The 26,123-nt window shown below is 46.2% G+C and overlaps 1 long non-coding RNA gene, 1 other non-coding gene and 1 pseudogene across 4 annotated transcripts, besides 2 other annotated features; 2 read left to right on the plus strand and 1 right to left on the minus strand.

Annotated features, from left to right (window-relative positions):
* Window positions 1-6,309: 6,309 nt before the first annotated feature.
* Window positions 6,310-10,348, minus strand: LOC124905093 (uncharacterized). Its single transcript, XR_007068033.1, has 2 exons — window positions 10,039-10,348; window positions 6,310-7,527 (listed from the first exon to the last, which is right to left on the minus strand). It is a non-coding gene; the product is annotated as an uncharacterized LOC124905093 (long non-coding RNA).
* A 93-nt stretch (window positions 10,349-10,441) lies between these two features.
* CRYBB2P1 (crystallin beta B2 pseudogene 1) lies at window positions 10,442-24,033 on the plus strand (annotated as a pseudogene). 2 transcript variants are annotated; one of them, NR_033733.1, is made up of 6 exons: window positions 10,442-10,639; window positions 15,671-15,789; window positions 18,067-18,195; window positions 19,614-19,756; window positions 21,771-21,870; window positions 23,222-24,033. The product of NR_033733.1 is annotated as a crystallin beta B2 pseudogene 1, transcript variant 1 (transcript). The 2 variants fall into 2 exon arrangements; NR_033734.1 differs by lacking the exon at window positions 15,671-15,789.
* Window positions 13,574-13,771: a silencer, noted in NCBI's record as "fragment chr22:25847186-25847383 (GRCh37/hg19 assembly coordinates)". NCBI's record gives its function as "represses an EF-1alpha promoter that drives an FKBP-Casp9 reporter gene in an ReSE screen in K562 erythroleukemia cells {active_cell/tissue: K562}" and the evidence as "EXISTENCE:reporter gene assay evidence [ECO:0000049][PMID:32094911]".
* On the plus strand, window positions 18,001-18,066 carry MIR6817 (microRNA 6817). Its single transcript, NR_106875.1, has one exon. It is a non-coding gene; the product is annotated as a microRNA 6817 (primary transcript).
* Window positions 18,068-18,171: an enhancer, noted in NCBI's record as "conserved acetylation island sequence 2". NCBI's record gives its function as "activates a minimal heat-shock promoter by reporter assays in Jurkat T cells {active_cell/tissue: Jurkat}" and the evidence as "EXISTENCE:reporter gene assay evidence [ECO:0000049][PMID:17135569]".
* Window positions 24,034-26,123: the final 2,090 nt, after the last annotated feature.

Consider the following 26,123-nt stretch of genomic DNA (forward strand, 5'->3'; position numbering starts at 1 on the left):
GGAGAGGGAAACTGCAGACACAGACAGTCACTGGTGCTGCGTCAAGGACCAGGGTAAAGATTTTCAGGGCCAGACCCAGAAGAGATGAAAACAGACTGGGGGCTGCCCTGGGTCTCTGAGGCCTGTCCCTACCTGTGCAGTGAGAGAGGGACATGAGGAGGAGAGGAATCCAGGCCGTGGTGGAGACAGCCCTTAACCCTCACAATGGGGCTGGGCTGTCCCAGGCTTGTGTAATTTCCCTCCTGCTCCCAGGGAAAAGGGGCTGTTCATGCAAATTCACTCCCTCCCCTCCCGGATCCCTCAGACCCTGCCTGATCACGGATTCAGGAGCCTGAGAGGGGACTTGAGGACAGAGGAGGCTGAGGGAGGGGCTGCTCTGAGTGCAGGCCCAGCAGCGTTGTGCAGGGGGACACACAGCTGTTAGAAACACACACAGGACCCTGCCAGGCCTTGAGAGCACCAGGCCATTGGGTCACATTCTGAGCACAGGGGACAGCTCTGACTCTGCCAGCTGGAGGCCAGTGGAGCTCACCCAGTTGTGAGCAATCCCCAGACAGGGCCTGGGACAGGGCACAGCACTCCTTACTGGTCACAGGCCCATCTTCAGTGTCCTCAGGGTCCAGGTACTTAATGCCCCAGGACGTCCCACCATCATTCAACACACAGTCCCCCAGGCCTCTGTGTAAGCAGTATGCTTAGGTCTCATTTCACAAATATTGATGAGCTCTCCGTGATTTCAGAGGCTTGCAATACAGAGAGAGAACTTTTCAATCCACAGACAATCCTATGAATATTAGGGGCTCAAGAAAACATATAAAGCAGTGGGGCTCTCTGGCCTGGCACGGTGGCTCATGCCTGTAATCCCAGCACTTTGGGAGGCCGAGGATGGTGGATCACCTGAAGTCAGGGGTTCAAGACCAGCCTGGCCAACATAGTGAAACCCTGTCTCTACTAAAAATACAAAAATTAGGCCATACGCGGTGGCTCACGCCTGTAATCCCAGCACTTTGGGATGCCGAGCTGGGTGGATCATGAGGTCAGGAGTTCGAAACCAGCCTGACCAACGTGGTGAAACCCCATCTCTACTAAACATACAAAAATTAGCCAAGCATGGTGGTGTGCGCCTGTATTCCCAGCTACTCAGGAGCCTAAGGCAGAAGAATCGCTTGAACCCAGGAGGCAGAGGTTGCAGTGAGCCGAGATCATACCACTGCACTCCAGCCTGGGCGACAGAGACTCCGTCTCAAAAAAAAAAAAAAAATCACAAAACAAAACAAAATGAAACAAAAAACTCCCTCTCTTCTCTCCTTCCTCCCCCTAGTCATCTCTAGTTTCTGTCTCTTCGAATTTGCCTATTCTAGACATCTCATGTAAGTGAAAACATGCAATATTTGTCCTTCTCTCCTTGCCTTATTTCACAGCATATTTTACAAGGTTCATCCATGTAACAGCATATATCAACATTGAATTCATTTTATGGCTGAATAGTATCTGTTGCATAAATACACATTATTTGACTTGTCCATTTATTTGTTGATTGATACTGGGTATCAATCAAGATTTTCTTGTTATTTCCACCTGTTCGCTACTGTGAGTAATTCTGCTATGAACTCTGATATACAGATATCTGTCTGAGTTCCTTCTCTCTCTCTCTCTCTATATATATAAATGTATATATATTTACATATTTATTTATATATATATTTATATACCTTACAGTGGAATTATTGGGTCATACGGTAGTTTCATGTTTACAGTTTTGAGGCTCCACCAAACTCTTTATCACAATGGCTAAATCAGTTTTTCCTCCAGCAATACATAAAGTTTTCAATGTCTTGACATCCTTGTGAACAGTTGTTATTTTACTTTTCCTTTTTTTTTCACTATAACCTTCCCAGAGAATGTGAAGTGATGTCTCACTGTTGTTTTGATACATACTTCCTCATGCCTAATGATGTTGAGTATCTTTTTTTGTACTTACTGGACCATTTGTATATGTGTTTGGAGAAATATATACTCAAGTCCTTTGCCCCCCCGAGCCCCACCCCCGCCTTTTTTTTTTTTTTGAGGCAGAGTCTCACTCTGTCGCCATGCTGGAGTGCAGTGACTCGATCTTGGCTCACTGCAACCTCCGCCTCCTGGATTCAAGCGATTCCTCTGCCTCAGCCTCCTGAGTAGCTGGGACTATAGGCATGCACCACCACACCTGGCTAATTTTTGTTTGTTTGTTTGTTTGTATTTTAGTAGAGATGGGGTTTCACCATGTTGGCCAAGATGGTCTCCATCTCCTGATCTCGTCATCTACCTGCTTTGGCCTTCCAAAGTGCTGGGATTACAGGTGTGAGCCACCACACCTGGCCCTTTGCCCATTTTTTAACTGGGTTGTTTACTTGTTTTTATTGTTGAGTTCTGGGGTGCTTTACATACTGCGGATATAAATTCCCTTGTCAAATATTTAATTTGTGAAGGTTCTGTTCCATTGTGTAGGTTGTCTCTCTGCTTTCTTGACATTGTCCATTGATGCACAGTACTTGGCAAAAAATGTTCATTACATGTTACAATATGTTATATATGTTAACAGTTATAAAATATAGCTAATAATTCAAACATATTAATAATCACTTTAAATGTGCATGGTCTATATACAGTAATTAAAAGACATAGACTAGAAGAGTGGATAAAAATAATATGCAAATATGTGTTCTCTACCAGAAACCCACTTCAAATATAAAGACTCAGAGCAAAAGAAGAGAGTTTTTTTTTTGTTTTTTTTTTTCTTTTTGAGATGGAGTCTCACTCTGTCGCCCAGGCTGGAGTGCAGTGGTGCAATCTCGGCTCACTGCAAGTTCTGCCTCCTGGGTTCACGCCATTCTCCTGCCTCAGCCTCCCAAGTAGCTGGGACTACAGGTGCCTGCCACCAGACCTGGCTAATTTTTTTATATGTTTTAGTAGAGACGGGGTTTCACCGTGTTAGCCAGGATGATCTCAATCTCCTGACCTTGTGATCTGCCGACCTCAGCCTCCCAAAGTGCTGGGAATACAGGCGTGAGCCACCGTGCCTGGCCAAGAACAGAGATTTAAAAAGACAGACCACTGGGCCTGGTGGCTCATGCCTGTAATCCCGGCACTTTGGGAGGCCGAGCCGGGCGGATCACCTGAGGTCGGGAGTTCGAGACCAGCCTGACCAACATGGAGAAACCTCCTCTCTACCAAAAATATAAAATTAGCTAGGCCTGGTGGCACATGCCTATAATCCCAGCTACTTGGGAGGCTGAGGCAGGAGAATCACTTGAACCCAGGAGAAGGAGGTTGTGGTGAGCCAAGATTGCACCATTGCACTCCAGCCTGGCAGCAGAGCAAGACTCCTCTAAAAAAAAAAAAAAAAAAAAAAAAAAAGGCAACATTGTGGGCCATAAAATAATACCACAACTTATTTAAATGAATGAAATTTCTAAAATATGCTTTCATAGCATTACAAAATTAGACTAGAATTCAGTAATAGAAAGATAAATGGAAAACCTCCAAATATTTGGACATTAAATCATGTACTCTGCAAAACACATGGATCAAAGAAGATGCCTCAATGAAGTTGTAAAAATACATATATATTTTTTGAGATGGAGTTTCACTCTTGTCACCCAGGCTGGAGTGCAGCGGTGCAATGTCAGCTCACTGCAATGTCCGCCTCCCAGGTTCAAAGCGATTCTCCCACTTCACCCTCCCGAGTAGCTGGGTCTACAGGTGCACACCACCACACCCGGCTAATTTTTGTATTTTTAGTAGAGACAGTGTTTCACCATGTTGGCTAGGCTGGTCTCGAACTCCTGACCTCAAGTGATCCGCCCACCTCAGCCTCCCAAAGTGCTGGATTACAGGCGTGAGCCACCATGCCAGGCAATTTTTTGTATTTTTTAGTAGAGATGGGGTTTCACGGTGTTAGCCAGGATGGTCTCAATCTCCTGACCTTGTGATCTGCCCACCTCGGCCTCCCAAAGTGTTGGATTACAGGCATGAGCCACCACACACAGCTGAAAAAATATTTTAAACAAAATGAAATAAAAATGTACCTTGTCAAGATCTGTGGGATGCAGTCAAAGCAGGGCTCGGAGGGAAATTTATAACTGAATGCCATGTGATAGAAAATAAGAAAGACCTAAAGTCAATAACCTAAGCTTTCACATTAGAAAACCAGACAAAACAGAGCAGTGTTATAGAAAGCAGACAGAAGAATAGCAAAAGCAATAATTACTGCAGAAATCAATGGAATGAAAAATCAAAAATCAACAGAGAAAGTTATCAAAACCAACAGCTGTTTCTATGAATAGATAAAAAAAAAAATCAATAAACCTCCAGGCAGGCTAACCATGAAGAAAGGAAGTCATAATGTACTAATAACTAAAGGAGAGGTCATCATTTGTGATTCTATGGGCATTGAGAAGACCATGAGGGAATACTTTGAGAAAATCTATGCCCAGAAATGTGATAAGCTTAGGAACCGATTCCTTCAAAGGCAGAAACTATAAAACTCACCAAGGAGAAATTGATAAACTGAATAAACCTGTATCAATTTTAGACATTGAATCAATCAGTAACTTTTCCAAAAAAAAAAAAAGCACCAGGCTTAGATGGTTTTACTGGTAAATCCTACCAAATTCTTTTTTTTTTTTTTGGAGATGGAGTCTTGCCATGTTGCTCAGGCTGGAGTGCAGTGGCACAGTGTTGGCTCACTGCAGCCTCCACCACCTGGGTTCAAGTTATTCTCCTGCCTCTGCCTCCTGAGTAGCTGGGACTACAGGCATATGCCACCACACCTGGCTAATTTTTGTATTTTTTTTTTTTTGAGACGGAGTCTCGCTCTGTCGCCCAGGCTGGAGTGCAGTGGCGCGATCTCGGCTCACTGCAAGCTCCACCTCCTGGGTTCACGCCATTCTCCTGCTTCAGCCTCCCCAGCAGCTGGGACTACAGGCGCATGCCGCCACGTCTGGCTAATTTTTTTTTGTATTTTTAGTAGAGACGGGGTTTCACTGTATTAGCCAGGATGGTCTTGATCTCCTGACCTTGTGATCCGCCCGCCTCAGCCTCCCAAAGTGCTGGGATTACAGGCATGAGCCACCGCGCCCAGCCTAATTTTTTTATTTTTGGTAGAGACAGGGTTTCACCATGTTGGCCAGTCTGGTCTCGAACTCCTGACCTCACGTGATCTGCCTGCCTCAGCCTCCCAAAGTGCTGGGATTAAAGGCATGAGCCACCGTGCCCAGCAACCCTACCAAATTCTTATGTAGTCTTATCATATAAGTAAGTGATCACAATCCTAAGTATTTACCCAGTTTAATTAAACAATTATGTATGGGCTGGGCCTCCCTACTCGGGAGGCTGAGGCAGGAGAATTGCTTGAACCTGTGAGACATTGGTTGCAGTGAGCTGAGATCGCACCACTGCACTCCAGCCTGGGCGACAGAGCAACACTCTGTCTCAGAAAAAAAAAAAATTATGTCTGTACTAAAAAGTCCACAGGAATGTTTATGGTAGCTTTATCCATACTGCCCACATTGAAAGCAACCTTTATGTTCTTCAGTAGGCGAATGTACCAACAAACTTTGTTACACTGATCAATGGAATATTATCCAGTGATAAAAAACCATTGAGATACATTTGGATTCGATTTATTAATCTCAGTTACCTACTATTCTGACATTTTAGGAAGGAAGTAATTGTTTTTAATGATGGATAAACTTGTGTGGTGTTTCAGATCTTATGATGCTGAGCACGTTCTGCACTGCGCTAACGTCTAATATAATTTTATATTTACAAACATACCTGCTACCCGGAGATTAATTTAGTCCATATGGACTATTGACCCCTCTTGAGACTGCAACATACGCACTCGTAAATCAGTGTGTTTAGACTTTTCAAGTATCTAACTCATTTCTAAACATGTACCATGTTTATAAACCTCTTGATTTCCAGCAACATAAGATAGAAAACCCCTGCTATTAAAAACACTTCACAGCTTCTACTCAGTGTCACCCATTGCTGTCGTGAGAGACAACACAGCGATATCTCATATGTTGCAAGCTTTCAAGATAGCCTGAACTTAAAAAGTTGCTCCATTAGTTGTATCTGATGGACCTAAATTTGCCTCCTAGTTCACTTTGTGTCAAGAGCCAAAACTGTGAACCTAACTTTCTCTTACTTGCAGGCAATAACTGAAAATAAAGATTTATTTTCATGCTAACTTCTTAAAAGTCATAAAAACAATAAAATAGGATCCTGAAAAAAAAACCGTTGAGATAAAAAGGCACAAATCAATATGAAAATATCATAAATGTATATTATAAGTGAAATAAGTCAATCTGAAAAAGCTGCATATGCTATGATTCCAATTACATAAGCTTTCTGGGAAAGAAAAACCAGAGGGACAGTGAAAAGATCAGTGGTTGCTGAGGGATCTGGAAAAAGGGGAGAGAAGTTAATAGGTGAAGCTCATGTAATGTCAAAACCCTTAGACTACCAAAACACAGACTGAATCTTAATGCAAACTCTGGCCTTTAGATACTAACAATGTATCAATAATGGTTCACTCATTGTAACGCATGGACCACACCCATGTAAAAGGTGGTTAAGAAAAGCAAACTTTGGGGGGAGGGTCTGAGAATTTTCTGTACTCTCTTCAATTTTTACATTCATCTAAAACTGTCCTACATAAACTCTCTTAATTTTTAAAACTCTGGCAACACTGTTTCAGGAAGAGATCCATCTCAGCTAATGTTTAATGATCAGCTAAATGTTAAAAGTTTCAGTTGAGATGTTTTCTATTTAAAGTGAATGAAACTTTTAGTTGTAAATACGCCATTACTTCTGTAGTTGTAGTAGTGGCAACTGACTAAATAATTTAAACGTGCACACATGAAATAAAAGAGAAATATGACACAGCATTTTTAAAGTTTTGTCTAGGCCGGGCATGGTGGCTCATGCCTGTAGGCCCAGCACTTTGGGAGGCCGAGGCGGGTGGATCACCTAATGTTAAGAGTTCGAGACACCCTGGCCAACATGGCGAAACCCCATCTCTACTAAAAATATAAAAATTAGCTGGGCATGTTGGTGGACGCCTGTAGTCCCAGCTACTCAGTAGGCTGAGGCAGGAGAATTGCTTGAACCCAGGAGGCAGAGGTTGCAGTGAGCTGAGATCGAGCCACTACACTCCAGCCTGGGCTACAAGAGTGAAACTCCAACTTAAAATAAATAAATAAATCAAGTTTTGTCTTAAACATGAAATGCTTAACCAACTGGAATCACTCTGCTTGAATGCACTTAATAACAGAATAGTCACAGTACCTTCAATTGATATGCACACTCTCACTCTTTGCCTAGTCAGAACTTTTCGGACCCTCTGCTTCCAGGGAGAAATAGACTGCACTGATTCCTGATGAGTGCTGTTGGGCCAGAAGTTCTCGGATGCTCAGCTTGGAGTCGGCAGAGGCTCCGCCAACTCCTCAGGAATTACTTGTATGTTCGGGATGCAAGATCCTGGGGAATTACAAAAAAGATAGCTGTTGAAATCTTACAGGCAGAAGACCATAGATAAATTAGTAATACTTTACTCACAGATCAAACTTTTTTTTTTTTTGAGATGGAGTCTTGCTATGTTGCCCAGGCTGGAGTGCAGTGGTGTAGTCTGGGCTGATTGCCATCTCCGCCTCCTGGGTTCAAGCGATTCGCCCGCCTCAGCCTCCCAAGTAGTTGGGATTACAGGCATGCGCCACCACGCCTGGCTAATAGTTTTGTATTTTTAGTAGAGACAGAGTTTCACCATGTTGGCCAGGCTGGTCTCAAACTCCTGACCTCAGGTGATCTAGCTGCCTCAGCCTCCCAAAGTGCTGGAATTACAGGCATGAGCCACCACACCCAGCTCACAGATCAAACTTTTGATCCAATTTTTACCACCTGCTTAGCACAGCCACCTGAATCAGAGAGTTAGTCCTTACAGAGAGATTTTTTTTTTTTGAGATGAGGTCTTGCTCTATTACCTAGGCAGCCGTGCAGTGGCATGCTCATGACTCACTGCAGCCTCGAACTCCAGGGCTCCAGTGATCCTCCCACCTCAGCCTCCCAGGTAGGTGGAACCACAGGCACACACAACCATATGGGGCTAATTTCTAAAAGTTTTTTGTAGAGGTGGGGTCTCCCTAAGTTGCCCAAGCTGGTCTTGAACTCCTACCCTCAAACTACCCTCTTGGTTTGGCCTCCCAAACTGTTGAGGGATTACAGGTGTGACCCACTGTGCCTGGTCCTCCTAGAAAGACCTTGCAGTGTGGGTAGCACTTAAAATGGAACAGATGATGTAGGCAAATGCCTTTCTTTAGATGAGGCAATGTGGAAAGGAAGCAGAGCAGACTGACCAAGAGCATGGAGCCTGGTGCCTATGGCCTGGGTTCAAATCCCACTGAGAAGCTGCACATACCTAGGAGTGTTATGTAAATCTCTCTGTGCTTCAGTCCCTGTTCTGAGATACACGAATGTTAGGCCGAGCGTGGTGGCTCACACCTATATTCCCAGCACTTTGGGAGGCTGAGGCAGACGGATCACCTGAGGTCAGGAATTCGAGACCAGCCTCATCAACATGGTGAAAACCCGTCTCTACTAAAATACAAAAATTAGCCGGGCGTGGTGGCAGGCACCTGTAATCTCAGCTATGTGGGAGGCTGAGGCAGGAGAATCGCTTGAACCCAGAAGGCAGTGGTTGCAATGAGCCGAGATCCCTCCATGGCACTCCAGCCTGGGCAATAAGAGCGAAACTCTGTCTCAAACAAACAAACAAACAAAAAACAAATGTTAATATGGTCCCTCTTATGATATAACGCTAACATTGAATTCAGGTAAAGCCTTAAGAAGACTGGTGCCGGCCAGGTGCGGTGGCTCATGCCTGGAATGCCAGCACTTTGGGAGGCCAAGGCGGGCAGATCATGAGGTCAGGAGATCGAGACCATCCTGGCTAAAATGGTGAAACGCTGTCTGTACTAAAAATACAAAAAATTAGCCAGGCATGGTGGCGGGCCCCTGTAATCCCAGCTACTTGGGAGGCTGACGCAGGAGAATCGCTTGAACCCGGGAGGCAGACGTTGCAGTGAACTGAGATCACGCCACTGCACTCCAGCCTGGGTGACAGAGCGAGACTCCGTCTCAAAACAAAAAAAAAAAAAAAAAAAAAGAGAGAGAGAGAGAGAACTGCATTAATACAGATGGTTCCATATTTTCTCCAGGGATCATCCGACTGAGGAGGTGGGTGGGGAGGTGTGGGACAAAATGGGGATTATGGTATTGTTCAAAACGGAGGATTTTAATGTGGTCTCCAGTTGGATAGAAGTTGTGTGTACATGTGTTTGTATTATCTATACACACAGAGACACTGTTCTGAGTTCCTCATGTATATTAATCTGTATTTTATCCTCTCAACAACTCTTATGAGAAGGTACTTTTCTGCAGATGGAGAAGCTGAAACACGCAGAGGATTCACTGCCTGCTCCAGGTCACCAGCTTATAAGTGGCTGGAGCAGGATGTTAACCCAGGTGGCCTGGCTCCAGAGTCCATGCACTGAGCTAGAACAAAGAAGATAGAAAAGAGGGCACATTCAGCTTGCTGGGCTTTCCTGTTCATGCTCACTCTGTCTCTCCGGAAGAGGGTCACCTTTTCCTATCCTCCTGTCTTTGGACTTGAAACTCCATGATTTGGGCCTTTGTATTCTGCTACTTGCACCAGCAAACACAAAGGATTCTCAAATCTTGGACCTCAGACTGGGAGCTGCAGTGAAAGTTTCCGTTGTTTTCAGGCTTTTGCACATAAACAAATCCACATGGCTGGTTCCCCTGGGAGCCACACTACTGCTGCTTTTTCTCATTCTCCAGCTTGCAGATGACCTGCTGTGGGACTTTGCCTTGCAATTAGGTGAGCCAATTCTCCCTATAAATTCCCATTTACAACACACACACACACACACATATGTACACACACACACACGTATATACACACACAAGACTTACTTATCCTGAATACATATGCACCCAACAGTGGAGCAGCCAGATTCGCAGGTACTTGAAAGCTGAGATGGGAGGATCACTTGGGTCCGGGAGGTTGAGGCTGCAGTGAACTGTGATTGCACCACTGCACTTCATCCTGGGGGACAGAGTGAGACCCTGTCCAAAAAAAAAAGGGAGCTTCACAGGGGGAGGTCCACATGCATAGGTTGGGGAGTTCCTGCTCCCTGGTGTCCCACAAGGCACCCTTCTACCCTACCTGACCTGGGCTTATGCTGACCATGAGGTGAATCATCCTGCACTGTGCACTGTGACTGGCAGGGGGCGCTGAAACCGCCTTTTCTGCCCCACATGGTGCGCATGCGTGTTCTCACCGTAGACGCTGCGTGGCGTGCGTGGCGTGCGTGGCGTGCGTGGCGTGGAGTCCAGAATGAGAAGAAGGAAAGCGGGGCCGGTTCCTTCAGGACCCGCCTCAGGGGGCACCGCGGCGGCTTGGGGACCACTTGGAGCCCCGTCCTGGGGAGAAAACAGCTCACGTCTATGGCCCTGACTGCTTAGGCGGGAGCTGCGTGCAGCTCAGCTTCTCCGGGGCATTTTTTTCTACACGGTGAGTACAGAAGTTTGTTTCCTCGAACGTTCCCTTTATTCTCATCTTCTCACTAGTTTTCCTCTTTCTCTTATAGTATTTTAATATTTGTTTTACCATTAGTTTTGTTCCCTGAGGGCTTTTGAGGGTGGGAAGTGTAGCAGACTGTGGTATTTTTAGGGTTTGAGGAGTTCTTCTGAGGGAACCTGTCCCATATAGATGGGGAGAGAGGAAGGGGAAGCCCGGCCCAGGTGGGAGTGGGGGCCAGGTCTGGGTTTTTGGCCGCCTCCTGTCCAGGCCTCAGACGGAGGAAAAAAGATGCCAGCTGCCTCCAGGATTTGATGAATTTTTAAATTTGCCTTCCCGCCATCGGGACAAATCGGGACTCTTTCACCCCCCTCCAACCCCCGCCCCCAGGGAAGCCTATGTCCCCTTCTGTCCCTCTGGTCACGACCACCTGACCAGGGGGGAGGGACACCCTAGTGCGAGCCTGACGGGGACTTACCCCTGATGACGGCGATGCTGAGGACCTGGTTCTCTCCATTCTGCTCAGTGTTACGTCCCCTGTGCAGAAATGTCTATTCAGGGTCCCTGCCCAATTTGGTGTTATCTTATTGTGGTTATTGCTGCTTAGCGCTGTTAACGTATTGCATATCTTTTATAACAACCCCTTAGGAGATATATGCTTCCCCCAAACTTTCTCCCCATTTGTAGGATTCCTTTTCATTTGGGTCATTGTTTCCTTTCTGTACAGAAGCGTTCCAGTTGGATGTAGCCCCACATGGTTGTTTTTGCTTTTGTTACTTGTGATTCGCTTTCCCAATTTAAAAAATAAATATATTCATAAGTCATTCCATTCTCGACGAGATTTTGTCCCTCTTCTTTTTTTTCCTTTTTTTCTTTTCCTGTTTCCAAACTGTGAGCCTAGATGCAAGTTGCCCCAAAACTAAGTGCTCCACCATCCCCTCTTTTTATCTTACAGACATTTGATGATGATCTGTAATTTCAGGCCTTGTGTTTGGGTCTTCAATCCATTTTGAGTTGATTTTTGTGTATTGTATACCAGAAGGTTCCTGTTTCATTCTTTTTCATAAAAACATCAGTTTTTTCAAAACCATTTAATGAAGAAAATCTCCTATCCCCATTGAGGCTTTGCAAACTCTGATACTGTTTTCATTTGCTTTGGAGGTATACCCAGTAGTGGGATTGCTAGATCATATGGTAGTTGCGTTTTCAATTTTTTGAGGAATTTACAACTTTTTTTTTTTTTTGGAGAGGAAGTCTGGCTCTGTTGCCCAGGCTGAAGTGCAGTGGCGTGATCTCGGCTCACTGCAATGTCTGCCTCCCGGGTTCAAGTGATTTTCCTGCCTCAGCCTCCCGAGTAGCTGGGACTACAGGTGCATGCCACCATGCCCGGCTAATTTTTTGTGTTTTTAGTAGAGACGGGGTTTCTCTGTGTTAATCAGGATGGGCTTGATCTTCTGACCTCGTAATCTGCCCGCCTCGGCCTCCCAAAGTGCTGGGATTACAGGCATGAGCCACCGCGTCTGGCCTACAACTTTTTTCCATAGTGTATATCCTAATTTATCTTTACACCAACAATGCATAAGATTTTCCCTTTATCCAAATCCACACCAGCATTCTTTTTAATTTTTAAGATATTTTCAGTAACATGTATTCCAGTAGGTGTGGGATGGTATCTGAATGTGGTTTTGGAGTACAATCTTTTCTGATGAATAGTAATGTTGAGGACCTTTTCTCTTACGTGTTTGTGCATGTTATGTAATTTTGGCAGCGATGTCTATTCGGGTTTTCTGCCCGATTTTAGTTTGGATATGTATTTTTTATGCTATTTGGTTTTTTTTTCTGTGTATATGTTTGATAACAACCAGTTATCACTTCTCTGATTCCCTCCTATTTTCTCACAATCTTTTTCTTTTTTGAGACGGGTCACTCTCACCCATGCTGGAGCACAGCGGCACATCACAGGACCATGTGTATTGGGGTATTGGCTACCTACAGCTTTGCAACGCAATTTGATATGAGGAATTGTGAGTCCTCCAACTTAGTTTGTATTTGTCAGGGTTCCTTAGAGGTTCAGGGCTCTTTGTGGTTCCATGATAATATTAGCATTGTGTATTTAAACTTTTTTTTTTTTTTTTTTTTTTTTTTTTTGACGGAGTCTTGCTCTGTCAACCAGGCTGGAGTGCAGTGGCATGATCTCGGCTCACTGAAACCTTCATCTCCTGGGTTAAAGCGATTCCCCTGCCTCAGCCTCCCAAGTAGCTGGAACTACAGGTGCATGCCACAACACCCAGCTGAATTTTTTTTTTTTTTGTATTTTAGTAGAGATGGGGTTTCATCATGTTGGCCAGGATGGTCTCGATCTCTTGACCCTGTGATCTGCCTGCCTTGGCCTCCCAAAGTGCTGGGATTACAGGTGTGAGCCACTGCACCCGCTCCTCCCCCACCCCTTTTTTTTTTCGAGATGGAGTCTCGCTCTGTCGCCAGGCTAGAGCGCAGTAGTATGATCTTGGCTTACTGCAACCTCTGCTTCCTGGGTTCAAGTGAGTCTCCTGCCTCAGCCTCCCAAGTAGCTAGGACTACAGGCGCGCCACCATGCCCAGTTAATTTTTGTATTTTTAGTAGAGATGGGGTTTCACCATGTTGGCCAGGATGGTCTTGATCTCCTGACCTCCTGACCTCGTGATCCACCCACCTCAGCCCCCAAAAATGCTAGGATTAAGGGGCCACCGCACCCGGCCTATACTTCTTAAATGTTTTGTCTATAATAAGGCACATAAACAGAGGGTATACTGGGACTTTTTTTCTCATCTGGGACTCTTTTGTTTTTGTTTCTGTTTTTATTTTGAGACACTGAGTCCCGCTCTGTCGCCCAGGTTGGAGTGCAGTAGCATGATCTTGGCTTACTGCAACCTTTGGCTCCCAGGTTCAAGTGATTTTTGTGCCTCAGCCACGCAAGTAGCTAGAATTACAAGTGTGTGCCACCATGCCCAGCTAATTTTTGTATTTTTCAGTAGAGACGGGGTTTTGCCACGTTGGCCAGGCTGGTCTCACACTTCTGGCCTCAAGCGATCTGCCCACCTCAGCCTCCCAAGGTGCTGGGATTACACACAGCCACCTTTCCCAGCCTCGTCTGGGACATTTTGATACATGTATATTTTTGGTGATGATCAAATCAGGGTACTTAGCCTAACTATTCCTTCCTACAGGTATTATTTCTCTGTGGTGAGAACACTCAAAATTGTTCCCTTCTAGCTTTTTTGAAAAATACAGTATTGTAACCAGAGTCACTCAGCTGTGGAACAGGAATGTATTCCTCCCAGCTAACTGTAACTTTGTTTCTATAACCAATCCCTCCTATCTGCCCTCCTTCCCCCAGCCTCAGGAAACCACTCCTGTACTTTCTGCTTCTTGAAGGTTAAGTTTTTGGATTCATCATAAGTGAGGTCATGCAGTGTTTGTCTTTGTCTTTCTGTGCTTGGCTTATTTAACAGAATGTTTTCTAGGTTCATTGGTGTTGCCCTAAATGAAAATTGCATTATTTTTTATGACCGGAGAGTATATCATTGTATATGTGTACTACATTTTCTTTATCCCTTCATCTGTGGGTGAACAGGTAGTCTGATTCCATCATCCTAGCTATTGTGACTAGTGATGCAATAGACATGGAAAGGCAGATGTCTCTTCAAAATACTGATTTGCTTTGACTGTATAGCTAGTAGTGGGATGAATAGATCATATGGCATTGGACTTTGAGTTTTTTGAGGAATCTGCAACTGCTTTCCGCAGTGTATATAGTAATTGACCCTCCCATAAACACTTCTTTTTTCCTGGAAATTCACACCAGCATTTGTGTTTGTATTTTTATTTGTCATATTCATTTCAAATAAGAGATGCTTTCTGTGTATGGTTTTGATTTCCATTTTTTGCAGGAGTAGTAATGTTAACCACATTTTTGTAAAGATAAAGTCAGTGTTATGTCTTCTTTGCCAAAAAGTCTATTCAGGCTCTTTGCCCAATTTTGGTTCGGTTACTAGTTTCTCTTTTGTTTAGTTTTTTTGCTAGTTACTAGTGTTAGTAGCTTGTGCCTTTTGGAAAACAAGGTCTTATCAGCTGTATGTTTCCCTAAACTTTCTTCTCATCTTTGCGATGCTGTTTGTTCGTTTCTTCTCTGCCCCCTCCTCTCCCCACGACAGAGTCTTGCTCTGTCACTCAGGCTGGAGTGCAGTAGCATGATCTCAGCTCACTGCAACTTCCGCCTCCCAGGTTCAAGCAATTCTCCGGCCTCAGCCTCTTGAGTAGCTGGGATTACAGGCACGCACCACCGTGCCCAGCTAATTTTTGTATTACTAGAGACGGGGTTTCACCATGTTGGCCAGGCTGGTGTCAAACTCCTGACCTCGTGAGCCACCATGCCTAGTCTAAGATGCCTTCTCTTTGGGTTCGTTTGTTCTGTCCTGTGCAGCAGCTCTAATGTTGTACTTAGTCTCTCATGTTTATATTTGCATTTGTTGCCAGTGATTTCAGTGTTCCATCCAAAAAAAGAGATTGTTAAGCCATTTTATTGTCTATGCGTATTTTCCCCCTAATTTTTCCTTTTCTTTTTGCGACCTGTGTGCACAGTGTCAAGTTTCCCCCAAATATATGCTTATCCCATGTTTTTTCCTTGGAGTGTTTTGCTTTCAGGATTGAATTTAACTGTTCGATTTATTTTTTGTAGATTTTTGTGTATTGGGCAGCATAGGGGTGCTATTTCAATCTTTTGCACATGACTACCCAGTTTTCTCAACTGGTGTGCCTTGGTGTGCTTTTGAAAAATGTGTGCCCTAAATATAATTTTGGGTTGATTACTTGGCTCCCTCATTTTGTCCATTCGGTTGTCTTTCTATATTTATGCCAGTCAGTGATTGCCTGGATGACTGTAGGTTTTGTTTTATCTATCTATCTATCTATCTATCTATCTATCTATCTATCTATCTATCTATCTATAATATATCCTAATCCTATTATTATTATTATTTGAGACAGGTTATTGCTCTGTCACCCAGGCTGGAGTTCAGCAGTGCGATCTTGGCTCATTGCAGCCTTGAACCTCCCGGGCTCAAGTGATCCTCCCTCCTCAACCTCCCAAGTAGCTGGGACTACAGGTGCGCATCCCCATGCCCCACTAATTTTTTTGTACTTTCTGTAGAGGTAGGGTTTTGCCATGCTGCCCAGGCTTCTCTCGAACTCCCAGGCTCAAGTGATCTGCCTGCCTTAGCCTCCCAAAGTGCTGTGATTACAGGCGGGAGCCACTGTGCCCAGGGCAACCCTGTTTTTTTTTTTTTTTTTTTAAATCAACTTTTATTTTGATTAAATTGCAGCTTAGTTACATGTGAACCTTTGATGACACTGAGGCTTGTGGCCACTGACCCCGTCACCCAGGCAGTGAGCAAAGTGCCCGTCAGGTGGTTCTTCCGCCCACACTCCCTTTCTGCCTCCTTTTTTCCATCTGATAGTCCCCAGTGTCTATTGTTTCCATCTTTATGTTCGAGTGTATTCACTGTTTAGCTCCCACTCATAAGTGAGAACATGCAGTATTTGGTTTTCTGTTCTTGCCTTGGTTTGCTAAACATAATAATCCCCAGGTCTATCCATGCTGCTTAGGACATGATTGTGTGTTTTACTTATGGCTGCGTAGTATTTTTTGGTGTGTATGCGCCACATTAAAAAATCAAATCCACTGTTGCTGGTCATCTAGGATGCTTCCACATCTTTGTTCTTGTGAATGGCACGACCATGAATGCACGAGAGCATGTGTCTTTTTGATAGAAGGATTTATTGTCTTTTGGGTAGATACTAAGTAGTGGAATTGCTGGGTCTGATGGTAGTTCTGTTTTAAGTTCTTTGAGAATCTCTACACTGCTTTCCACAGTGTGAACCTGTTTTCACGTTCCCCAAGGTAGGAGCGTTCCCTTTCCTTTCCTGCCTCGCCAGCATGTTGTTTTGCTTTTGGAAAAATGGCCATTCTGACCAGCGTGAGATGGTATCTCATTGTGTTTGTGAGTTGCATTTCACTGATGATTAGTGAGGTAGTGCATTTTTTCATGTCAGTTGGTCACTTGAACGTCTTCTTTTTCTTTATTTTTATTTTTTATTTTTTGAGACAGTGTCTCACTCTGTTGCCCAGACTGGAGTGCAGTGGCGTGATCTTGGCTCACTGCAACCTCCGCCTCCCAGGTTCAAGTGATTCTTCTGCCTCAGCCTCCTGAGTAGCTGGGATTACAGGTGCCTGCCACTATGCCTAGCTAATTTTTGTGTATTTTAGTAGAGACGGGGTTTCACCATGTTGGCCAGGCTGGTCTTGAAGTCCTGACCTCGTGATTTGCCCGCCTCGGCCTCTCAAAGTGCTGGGATTAAAGGCATGAGCCACCATGCCTGACCAATTTTTTGTATTTTTAGTAGAGATAGAGTTTCACTGGTCTCGAACTCCTGATCTCAGGTGATCTGCCCACCTCAGCTTCCCAGAGTGCTGGGATTATAGGCATAAGCCACAGTGCCCAGCCCCTTGACAACTGTTTTGTAAGGAACCATTGCCTGAAGTAGAATTGCTGGATCAAGACTACTTTTCCAAAAGAGGATAATAAACATGATCTCCTCTTTTGTTAATGACTTAGATCATTCCTCTGAAAAGCCATTATTGCACATTGCTGAAATGTTCGCCTCTGCACTGGTTGGTCCCAGAATGCTAATCATTTTGAGATTTGTGCCTTCTTTCTTCTATTTTCTGCTTTCTTCTATTAGCCATGCCCGACCTGAAAGCCATCCCTTCCTCTTTAATGTACTATTTTTCTTCTAATGTGGATCTACAAAAACAGAGTTTGGGCAGAGTCTAACAACAGGAACAAGAGAAGAAACAGATCCAAAGAGAGGGGCTTTGGGCCCAGAGATGTTCTAGAGTCAGTTCTCAGTGGTGAAGGCTGACTGTGCATCTCTCTTCCTAACTTCACTTGCAGCCGTGTCGTATTGATAGCTTGAAATCTGCCACAGTGGGAGCATTTACACCATGGAAATTGGCAAACGCTGCAAATCAAGAGTGTTAATTTTCGTTTTGTTTTTTGAGAGTTGGCTATTAACTTACCAGCATACTATTGGCTTTAGTGCATGGCGTCTATATATTGGTATTTGTTGCTGGGCCGTTATTTAGACTGCCTTCTTATTTCTTAACTGTGTTCCAGGTGGGTAAAGGCAGCATAGCACTGAGTTCTAGATAACTGAGGGGATTTTGCACTTGGATTTGCTGTGCTAAGGTTTGGGTGGGGCTATTACATCTTGCCGGGCTGGGCAAGAGTGAACCCTAGGGGTCAACATCAGTAGCCAGGATTCTGCCATAGGAAGCTTGGAGTGGAACTGACCTGCCCCCTTTCTCTCTGACTCCATGGCAGCTGGGTGAGCTATGAACAGGCCAACTGCAAGGGCGAGCAGTTTGTGTTTGAGAAGGGCGAGTACGCCCACTGGGACTGGTGGACCAGCAGCCAGAGGACAGACTCAGCAGCCTGAGGCCCATCAAAGTGGTGAGCCCCCTGCCATCATCCTACTTTCTCTCTCTGCCACCTTGGAGCAGGAGGTCCTGGGACCAGGAAGGAGCCCGCCCCTCTAGCATTGTGCCCCTTCTGATTGGTGAGGAACCTCCTCACTGGGTGACCTTGCAAAAGTCATTTTACTTCCCTGAGCCTCAGTTTCTTCATCTGTAAAATGGGCATATTGGTATCTACTGTCCTGAGGTTCCAATGTGCTTATTAGCTTGAGGGTTGTCACACTGCAACTCCAGAAGGCTCCAATCACAAGACTATGAAATGCTCCAGAGGGCACTATTCACATTCTATTTTAGGTGGTTGGTGCCCGCCCCCCGCGCCCAAGGGTTGGGCAACTCCCGTCATTGCTCAATAACCAATAGCCATCAGAAATACTACAAGAAATTATGAGTTTGGGGCTGGAGGAGAAGGTGGTTTAGCTCTTCTTCAAGACTCGTGCCAGTGTGAGTTTTCAGTGCTTCTGAGATCCTGATTCTTACTAGTGTGTGAGAGTGTCAACTCTCAGGAAGGGGACAGGGCCCATCACTGCTCAGTTACACTCTCAAACCCTCCAAGCCCAGTCTAGCTCCTCCCAGGACCTACTGGAAGGTTGGAGAACACTGGACTTTGCACCCCACAGACCTGGGTTCCCAAGTTGGCTGTGCTGCTCCCAGCTGTGTGGCCTTGAGCACGTCATTTGACCTCTCTGTGCCGCACTTTCCTCATCTGCTAAATGGCATAAGAGGATTTTATGTCTGAGGGATAAGGGTTTTATGTGTAAAGGATGAGATGAGATAACTAAGGAAAATGTCATAGGGACAGGAGGATGGGAAGAGATGTAGAAATGAAGAAAAATCAAAGTATCTCAGGTGCCTATTAGAGGCACAGTTAGCCTGTGCATGTGTGTGTGTACATGTGTGGGTGTGCATGTGTGTGCACGTGTGTGTGTGCAAGTGTGCACGTGTGTGCACACATGTGTGGGTGTGCATGTGTGTGTACATGTGTGGGTGTGCACGTGTGCGCGCGCGTGTGTGTGTGCAAGTGTGCGTGTGTGCCTGTATGTGTGCACGCTTGTGTGGGTGTGCGTGTGTGTGTATGTGTGGGTGTTCATATGTGGGTGGGTAGGTAGATCGTAGCCACCATTTATAAAAGAGAAACTTGAGGAGGAAAAAATGACATTTCAGAATCAAACATTCCCCAAAGTGTTGCAGAGTGTCTGTTACATGAAAATGGCCCAGTAGAAACTTAACAAACGGCTGTGATCCAACAGCAGTGGTCATAGACACGTAGTGGGTGCATTGGGAAGAGAGTGATGTGTGGGACATGCTGATCCCAACTCTGGGGCATGAGCATGGGGTGGGAAGGCCAACCCTGGGCCCCCTCACCCATACTCACTTCCCCCCATCCTCTGCCAATAGGACAGCCAAGAGCACAAGATCATCCTCTATGAAAACCCCAACTTCACCGGGAAGAAGATGGAAATCATAGATGACGATGTACCCAGCTTCCACGCCCATGGCTACCAGGAGAAGGTGTCATCTGTGTGGGTGCGGAGTGGCATGTAAGTGCATTGCCAGCCCTGGCTCACCCTGCCCCAGGAACTGAGACTCTGGGGTCCTAAGTCCTGCTCTGCCCTGTACACACTGGTGATCTTGCACACATCAATGTGCTCTGCTGACCTCTGGCTTCCCACTGGAAAGTAAATGGGAATTCTCTGCCCATAGGTGGCTTACAGCCGCTGAATTTCTTTCTAGAGCTGCCTTTGGGGAAATGGTATGCCTTTGGAGTGGAGAAACCTTGGCCTTAACCTCAGCCCCAGTGAGCAAGACATGTATGTCAGAGGGGCAAGTTGAGGCAGAGGGAGGATTAGGTTGAGGCAGGAGGGAAGGAATGAGTTGAGTAGTCTGAAAGCTATGAGAAGCAGGAGGACCAGCCCATGCTGCCTTTGACCACTTGTGTCCCTAAGTTTGGGAACAGGAGGTGTCATTTTCCACTGAATCGAAGTTCCTGGGCACATCGACCCTGGCCATCAGCAGTGAGGGATTTCTCATGGTAAAAAATTTGGATTCCATGGGGGTCCACAGATGAGCTTTGGGCAGCGGTGTGCTGGAAATAGCTTATACCAGCTTGTAAGAACTGACTTTTTTTTTTTTTTTAATTGAGACGGAGGCGCGCACTTTCGCCCTGGCTGGAGTGCAGTGGAATGATCTTGGCTCACTGCAACCTCCGCCTCCCAGGTTCAAGCGATTCTCCTGCCTTATCCTCCCAAGTAGCTGGGATTACAGGTGCCCACCACCAAGCTCAGCTGATTTTTTGCATTTTTAGTAGAGACAGGGTTTCACTGTGTTGGCCAGGTTAGTTTTAAACTCCTGACCTCATGACCTGCCTGCCTCGGCCTCCCAAAGTGCAGGGATTACAGGCATGAGCCACTGTGCCTGACCTGGAACTGACTCTTAAATTTTCAGAATTTGTGTGAACTGGTTGACTAATCATTGGTAGCTTGAAACCAGCCACAGGGTGCATTTACAGCATAGAAATCAGCAAGTGCTGCTAATTAAGGCTCTTTCCCCACAACAGAACCAATTTAGCCAAACATACTGGCTTCTTGGGGTTTGTGAAACTCCTAAAATAGTGTGCAAAGTTCTGTGCTCCTATTCCCCTTCATTCCCTCATTCATTCATTCATTCATTCAATCTGTCAGTGCTGCCATATGCCAGGCATTGTGTTAGGTGCCCAGGGTGAAGGAGATTAAAGAGATCTGGCTTCTGCCCTGTGTAGCCAACAGTCTAGAAGGGGCAACTGTTAATACTTTAAGAATCCACATGAATCTAAGCTACTTCCTTGGAGAAAAGATTCTTGAGCTGAGATCTCAAGGAACAGTAGGAATTGCAGGGGTAAAGAGGCCAAGGAAGAGCATCCCAGACAACGAGAGCAGCATGTGCAAAGGCCCTGTGGTGTGTGTGTGGGGAGCCTGATAGGTCTGAGAAACTCTACAAAGGCCATGGTGGCTGGAATGCAGAGATGTGGAAGCATAAGAATGAGAAGTAGAGCTGGAGGTGTTCACAGAGACTGGCCAGGCAGATCCTTGCAGGCCAGGCCTGTGTGACATTTTCTGGAGAGAAGACCAGCACTTTCATTAAGTAGCCCCTGGAACCTCTTTGATCAGAAGGCCCCTGGAACCTCCCCCAACTCTTCTTTGACTTTGCAGCCAGGCTTGGAGGTGGGATAAGACTGGAGGGAGATGGTTCAAAGGCCTGGCTTATTCTAAGCTTCAGTGAGCTTAAGATATCACCCCCTTGCTCTGACCCCAGTACAGTATAGTACAGGCCTTCAGTCAAAATTTGCTTCAGGAGGCAGTGAGCTCCCCGTCAAGAGAAGGAAGAAAGCAGAGGCTCAATGCTGGAAGGGTGGGGTGGAAAGGGTGTCCTGCTTACCCTTGGGAAGTGGCAATGGTTGGGAGGCTTCACCCTTCCTAGTGGCTTATGGATGCTCTATCTCTCTCCCCTCACCTCTCTCTCTGTCTGCTTCTCTTCCTGTCCCCCTGGTTCACCCTCCCCTCCCCTCTGGCCCTGCAGGTGGGTTGGCTACTAGTACCCTGGCTACCGTGGGCTGCAGTACCTGCTGGAGAAGGGAGACTACAAGGACAGCAGCGACTTTGGGGCCCGTCACCCTCAGGTACAGTCCGTGCGCTGCATCCACGACATGCAGGGGCACCAATGTGGTGCCTTCCACCCCTCCAACTAGTGCCCACCCCACCATGCCTCCTTCCCAGGACCCAGGTCTGCTGCCCAGGAACCCTCCAGACCTCCCAGAGAGTGAATGAAGTGTGACTTGCAACTTGTCTGCTGTGGGTCTTTGATCTCCCCTGGCAGCTGGTGTGTGTGTGTGTGTGTGTGTGTGTGCGTGCGTGTGTGTGATAGAAATGAGAATTGGCAAGTATCTGGGCTATGAGTAGGGCAACAGAACCCTTACTGAGTCTTACGGTTCTGCAGCTTCTTAGCTCTTAACTGTGTGACCTTGGACACAGTGCCCAACCTCTCTGAGCCTTTGTTTCTTCACCTGACTTGCAATTCCCTTGCCTCTGAGTGTCTGGCTGGTCTCGAACCCCTGAACTTGTGATCTGCCTGCCTCAGCCTCCCAAAATGCTGGGATTACAGGCGTGAGCCACTGCACCTGGCCAAACTTGAAGAAATTATTTCTAATCCCCGGTCACAAAGAAATTCCCTAATAGATTTTTTTCTCTAAACTTTTTAAACATTTGCTGTTCACATTTGCGTTCTTAATCCTTCTGGAGCTGATTCTTGTATATAGTGTATGGTAGAGATTCAGTTTTTTTTTCTTTTTGGAAGTCCAGTGTCTTAAATCATTCATGAAGGAGTCCATTTCCTGCACTGTGGTGCAATGTCGCCTTGCTGATCTATCCCCTTCCCCACAGGTGGGGTGATTTTATGGGCTGTCTTTTCTGTTCCTGTAGTCTGTGTATCCCTGCACTCTTGCCAGATTATGTTAATGACTATTGCTTTGTAGTCAGTGTTGAGGTCCCTAAAACAGGGGCCCTCCACCCCTGGGCCTCCCGGGCCTCCCGTGGCCTGGAATGGGGGCTCCACAGCAGGAGGTGGGGATTACAGCCTGAGCCCCGCCTCCCGTCAGACCAGCGGCAGTATTAGATTCTCATAGGGGTGCAAACCCTATTGTGAACTGCACATGGAAAGGATCTAGGTTGCATGCTCCAATGAGAATCTAATGTCCCCTGCCCACAGCCCGTGAAAAATTGTCTTCCACAAAATCAATCCCTGGTGCCAAAACATTTGGCCCTATAACATGATTCTTCAGGAATGTTTTAGGTATTCTTGCCCTTTTAGGACTCCATTTAGAAGCATCCCCTCACATTTGGAAAAGTGGAAAACCTTGTTGAATGAGCTGAAGTGGTTAAAATGATTATCATAAAGGTAGAAACCAGTAAGTGCTCCATATACACCATGGAATACTATGCAGCCATAAAAAAATGAGTTCATGTCCTTTGCAGGGACATGGATGAAGCTGGAAACCATCATTCTCAGCAAACTAACACAGAAGCAGAAAACCAAACACCACATGTTCTCACTCATAAGTGGGAGTTGAACAGTGAGAACACATGGACACAAGGAGGGGAACATCACACACCGAGGCCTGTCAGGGAGTGGGGGACAAGAGGGAGAGAGAGCATTGGGACAAATACCAAATGCATGCACGGCTTAAAACCTAGATGACAGGTTGATGGGTGCAGCAAACCACCATGGCACATGTATACCTGTGTAACAAACCTGCACGTTCTGCACATGTATCCCAGAACTTATAATAAAAAAGAAACCAGTAAGTGCTCAATAAATGTTACTAACATCTATTTCTTCATTCATTCTTCAACCATTACCCACTGAGTGCCTATTTGGATACTTGGCTTAGTACCTGGGTGATGAAATAATCTACAGCAAACCCCCATGGCATGAGTTTATAACAAACCTGCACATGTATCCCCGAACTTAAAAGTTAAAAAAACAGAATCTGCACAAGTCTAAGCTACTTCCTTGAGGAAAAGACTCGAGCTGAGATCTCAAAGAAGAGTAGAAGTTGCAGGGGTAAAGAGGCCAAAGAAGAGTGTCTCAGATGAGAGCGGCACGTGCAAAGGCCCTGTGGTGGGAGGAGCCTGGTAGCTCTGAGAAACTCCACAAAGGCACGGTGGTGGCTGGAATGCAGAGATGTGGGGGCACATTGAAAACCTTGTTAAAGTGCTTAAAATGATTATCATAAAGGTAGAAACTAATAAGTGCTAAATAAATGTTATTCTCGTCCGTTTCTCCATTGATTCTTCAATCAATACCTATTGAGTGCCTGTTTCACTCCTGGAACTGGGCAGAGTAGGAATACAAAGTAAGACAGATTCCCTGCCCCTAGAAGCTCTCACTGTGGGGGGATTGTAATAGTTTGAGAGTAGAGCAATGGTGATTATTATGGGTTGAATGAGAACCCCCCAAATTCATATGCTGAAATCCTAATCCTCAATACCTTAGAGAATGTGACCTTATTTGGAAACTGGGTCATTGCAAGTGCAATTTTTTTTTTAAGTGATAGGGTCTCACTCTGTTGTCCACGCTGGAGTGTGGTGGCACAATCATAGCTCACTGCAGCCTCCAACTCCTGGGCTTTCAAGTGATCCTGTTGCCTCAGCCTCTGGAGAAGCTGAGACCGCAGGCGTGTGTGACCACACCTGGCTATTTTTTTTTTTTTTTTAATTTCATGTAGAGATTGGGGGGTGGGGGGTGGACTCCCTGTGTTTTCCAGGCTGGTCTCAAACTCCTGGCCTCAAGCAATCCTCCCATCTTTGCCTCCCAAAGTGCTGTGACTGCAGGTGTGAGCTACCATGCCCGGCCAAATGTAATTAGTTATTTTAAGAGTAGATCACACTGGAGTAGTGTGGGCCTAATGGAACGTGACTGGTGTCTATGAAAACGGGAAACTTGGAGACAGGCACGCACACAGGGAGAATGTCATGTGAAGATGATGCTGGGGTGATGTTTCTGCAAGGCAAAGAGTGCCGGAGACTGCGGGCCACCCACCAGAAGCTAGGAGAGAAACACGGAGCAGATTCTCTCTCGCAGCCCCCAGAGGGACCCCACCCTGCCAAAGCCTTGACCTCGGACTTCTAGCCTTCCTGGGGACTTCCTAGAGAATGCCCAGTCCTTCCTCCCTCTTCCTCCCCCTTCTGCGTGGGGAGTGCTCTGCGTGTCATCCCTACTCACCTCTCCTCGGGGCCTACAGTTACCTCCTCTCCTGTCTCCGCAGGACCCAGCCAACCCTTTCTTCCCGTCCCCAAGGCTCCACTTCCCCCTGCAGCCACCAGGTGTCAGCAAAGCATCATCCTTGGGGCTCATGGCCGGGTGGCCTGAGCTGCGCAGGCCCTGTAGGAGCCTTGGGTTTCAGGGGAACTAGTTCTTGGTGTTGGAGAGCCGGACTCAGCAGCCAGACTAGTCCCTGGGAAGTGGATTGGAGTCTGGCAGAAACAGGTAGGAAGCCACAGGGCAGCCCTAAGAGAGGCAGTGGAAACAGCCCCAAGTCAGGCAGTGGAGCCAGAGGCCCCTGGAGTCAGGCAGGACTAGAGTCAAGTCCCAGATCTCCTACTCATTGACCCTGTGACGGCAGGCAAATGACCTTACCTCTCTGAGACTCTCTTTCCTCATCTGACCAAGGGCCATACGGGGGTTTTTATTCCATTGGTAATTCTCAGACACCTGGTCACCGAGCTGACACGAAGTAGTTGCTCAATAAATGACACCCTAGTTGCCTTTTCGCTCTTCATTCATTCATTGAATAGTGATTGGGGAATCTCTCCCACGCTGCCACTGCTCCATGTACCAGAGACACAAAGCAAAGGAGCCTGCCTGTCAAGCCTACCTTGTCACCTGTTGCCAGGAAGTCCTGCTCCCTCCTAGGGCAGCCCCTGGTTAGTGGAGCTGAGAGAACCCAAGATGCTGAGCCGTGGGGTGTGCATGAGAACCGGGAGGGAGGTTTTATGAAAATCAGGTACAGGTGCAGCCCCAGGCCAGGTCAGCTCAGAGGGGGTGGCGGGGTTGCGGGGGGCGGAGCGCAGGCAGGTGAAACTGGAGGAAATTGGAGATACAGCGGGAGGGAGGGGGAAAAGGTAAAACCTCTCACCACCTCCTCAACGCTTATGAAGGTCTGAAGCTTGCTTACTAATAATTTTAAACCCAAACTCAGACATCAGCCAATACTAAATGTTTGCAAGGATTGGGGAACAAAAACTCTGAAGCGCTTCTGCAGTGATGTAAATTGGTGCCATCACTTTGCAAAAATTAGAATTTGACAGATTCTAGTAATGTTGAAGATGCAGAAATCTGGAGACCCAGCTATTTCTTCACTGGGTGTTTACCCTG

This window comes from Homo sapiens, chromosome 22 (assembly GCF_000001405.40).
Source record: "Homo sapiens chromosome 22, GRCh38.p14 Primary Assembly".
NCBI lineage: Eukaryota > Metazoa > Chordata > Mammalia > Primates > Hominidae > Homo > Homo sapiens.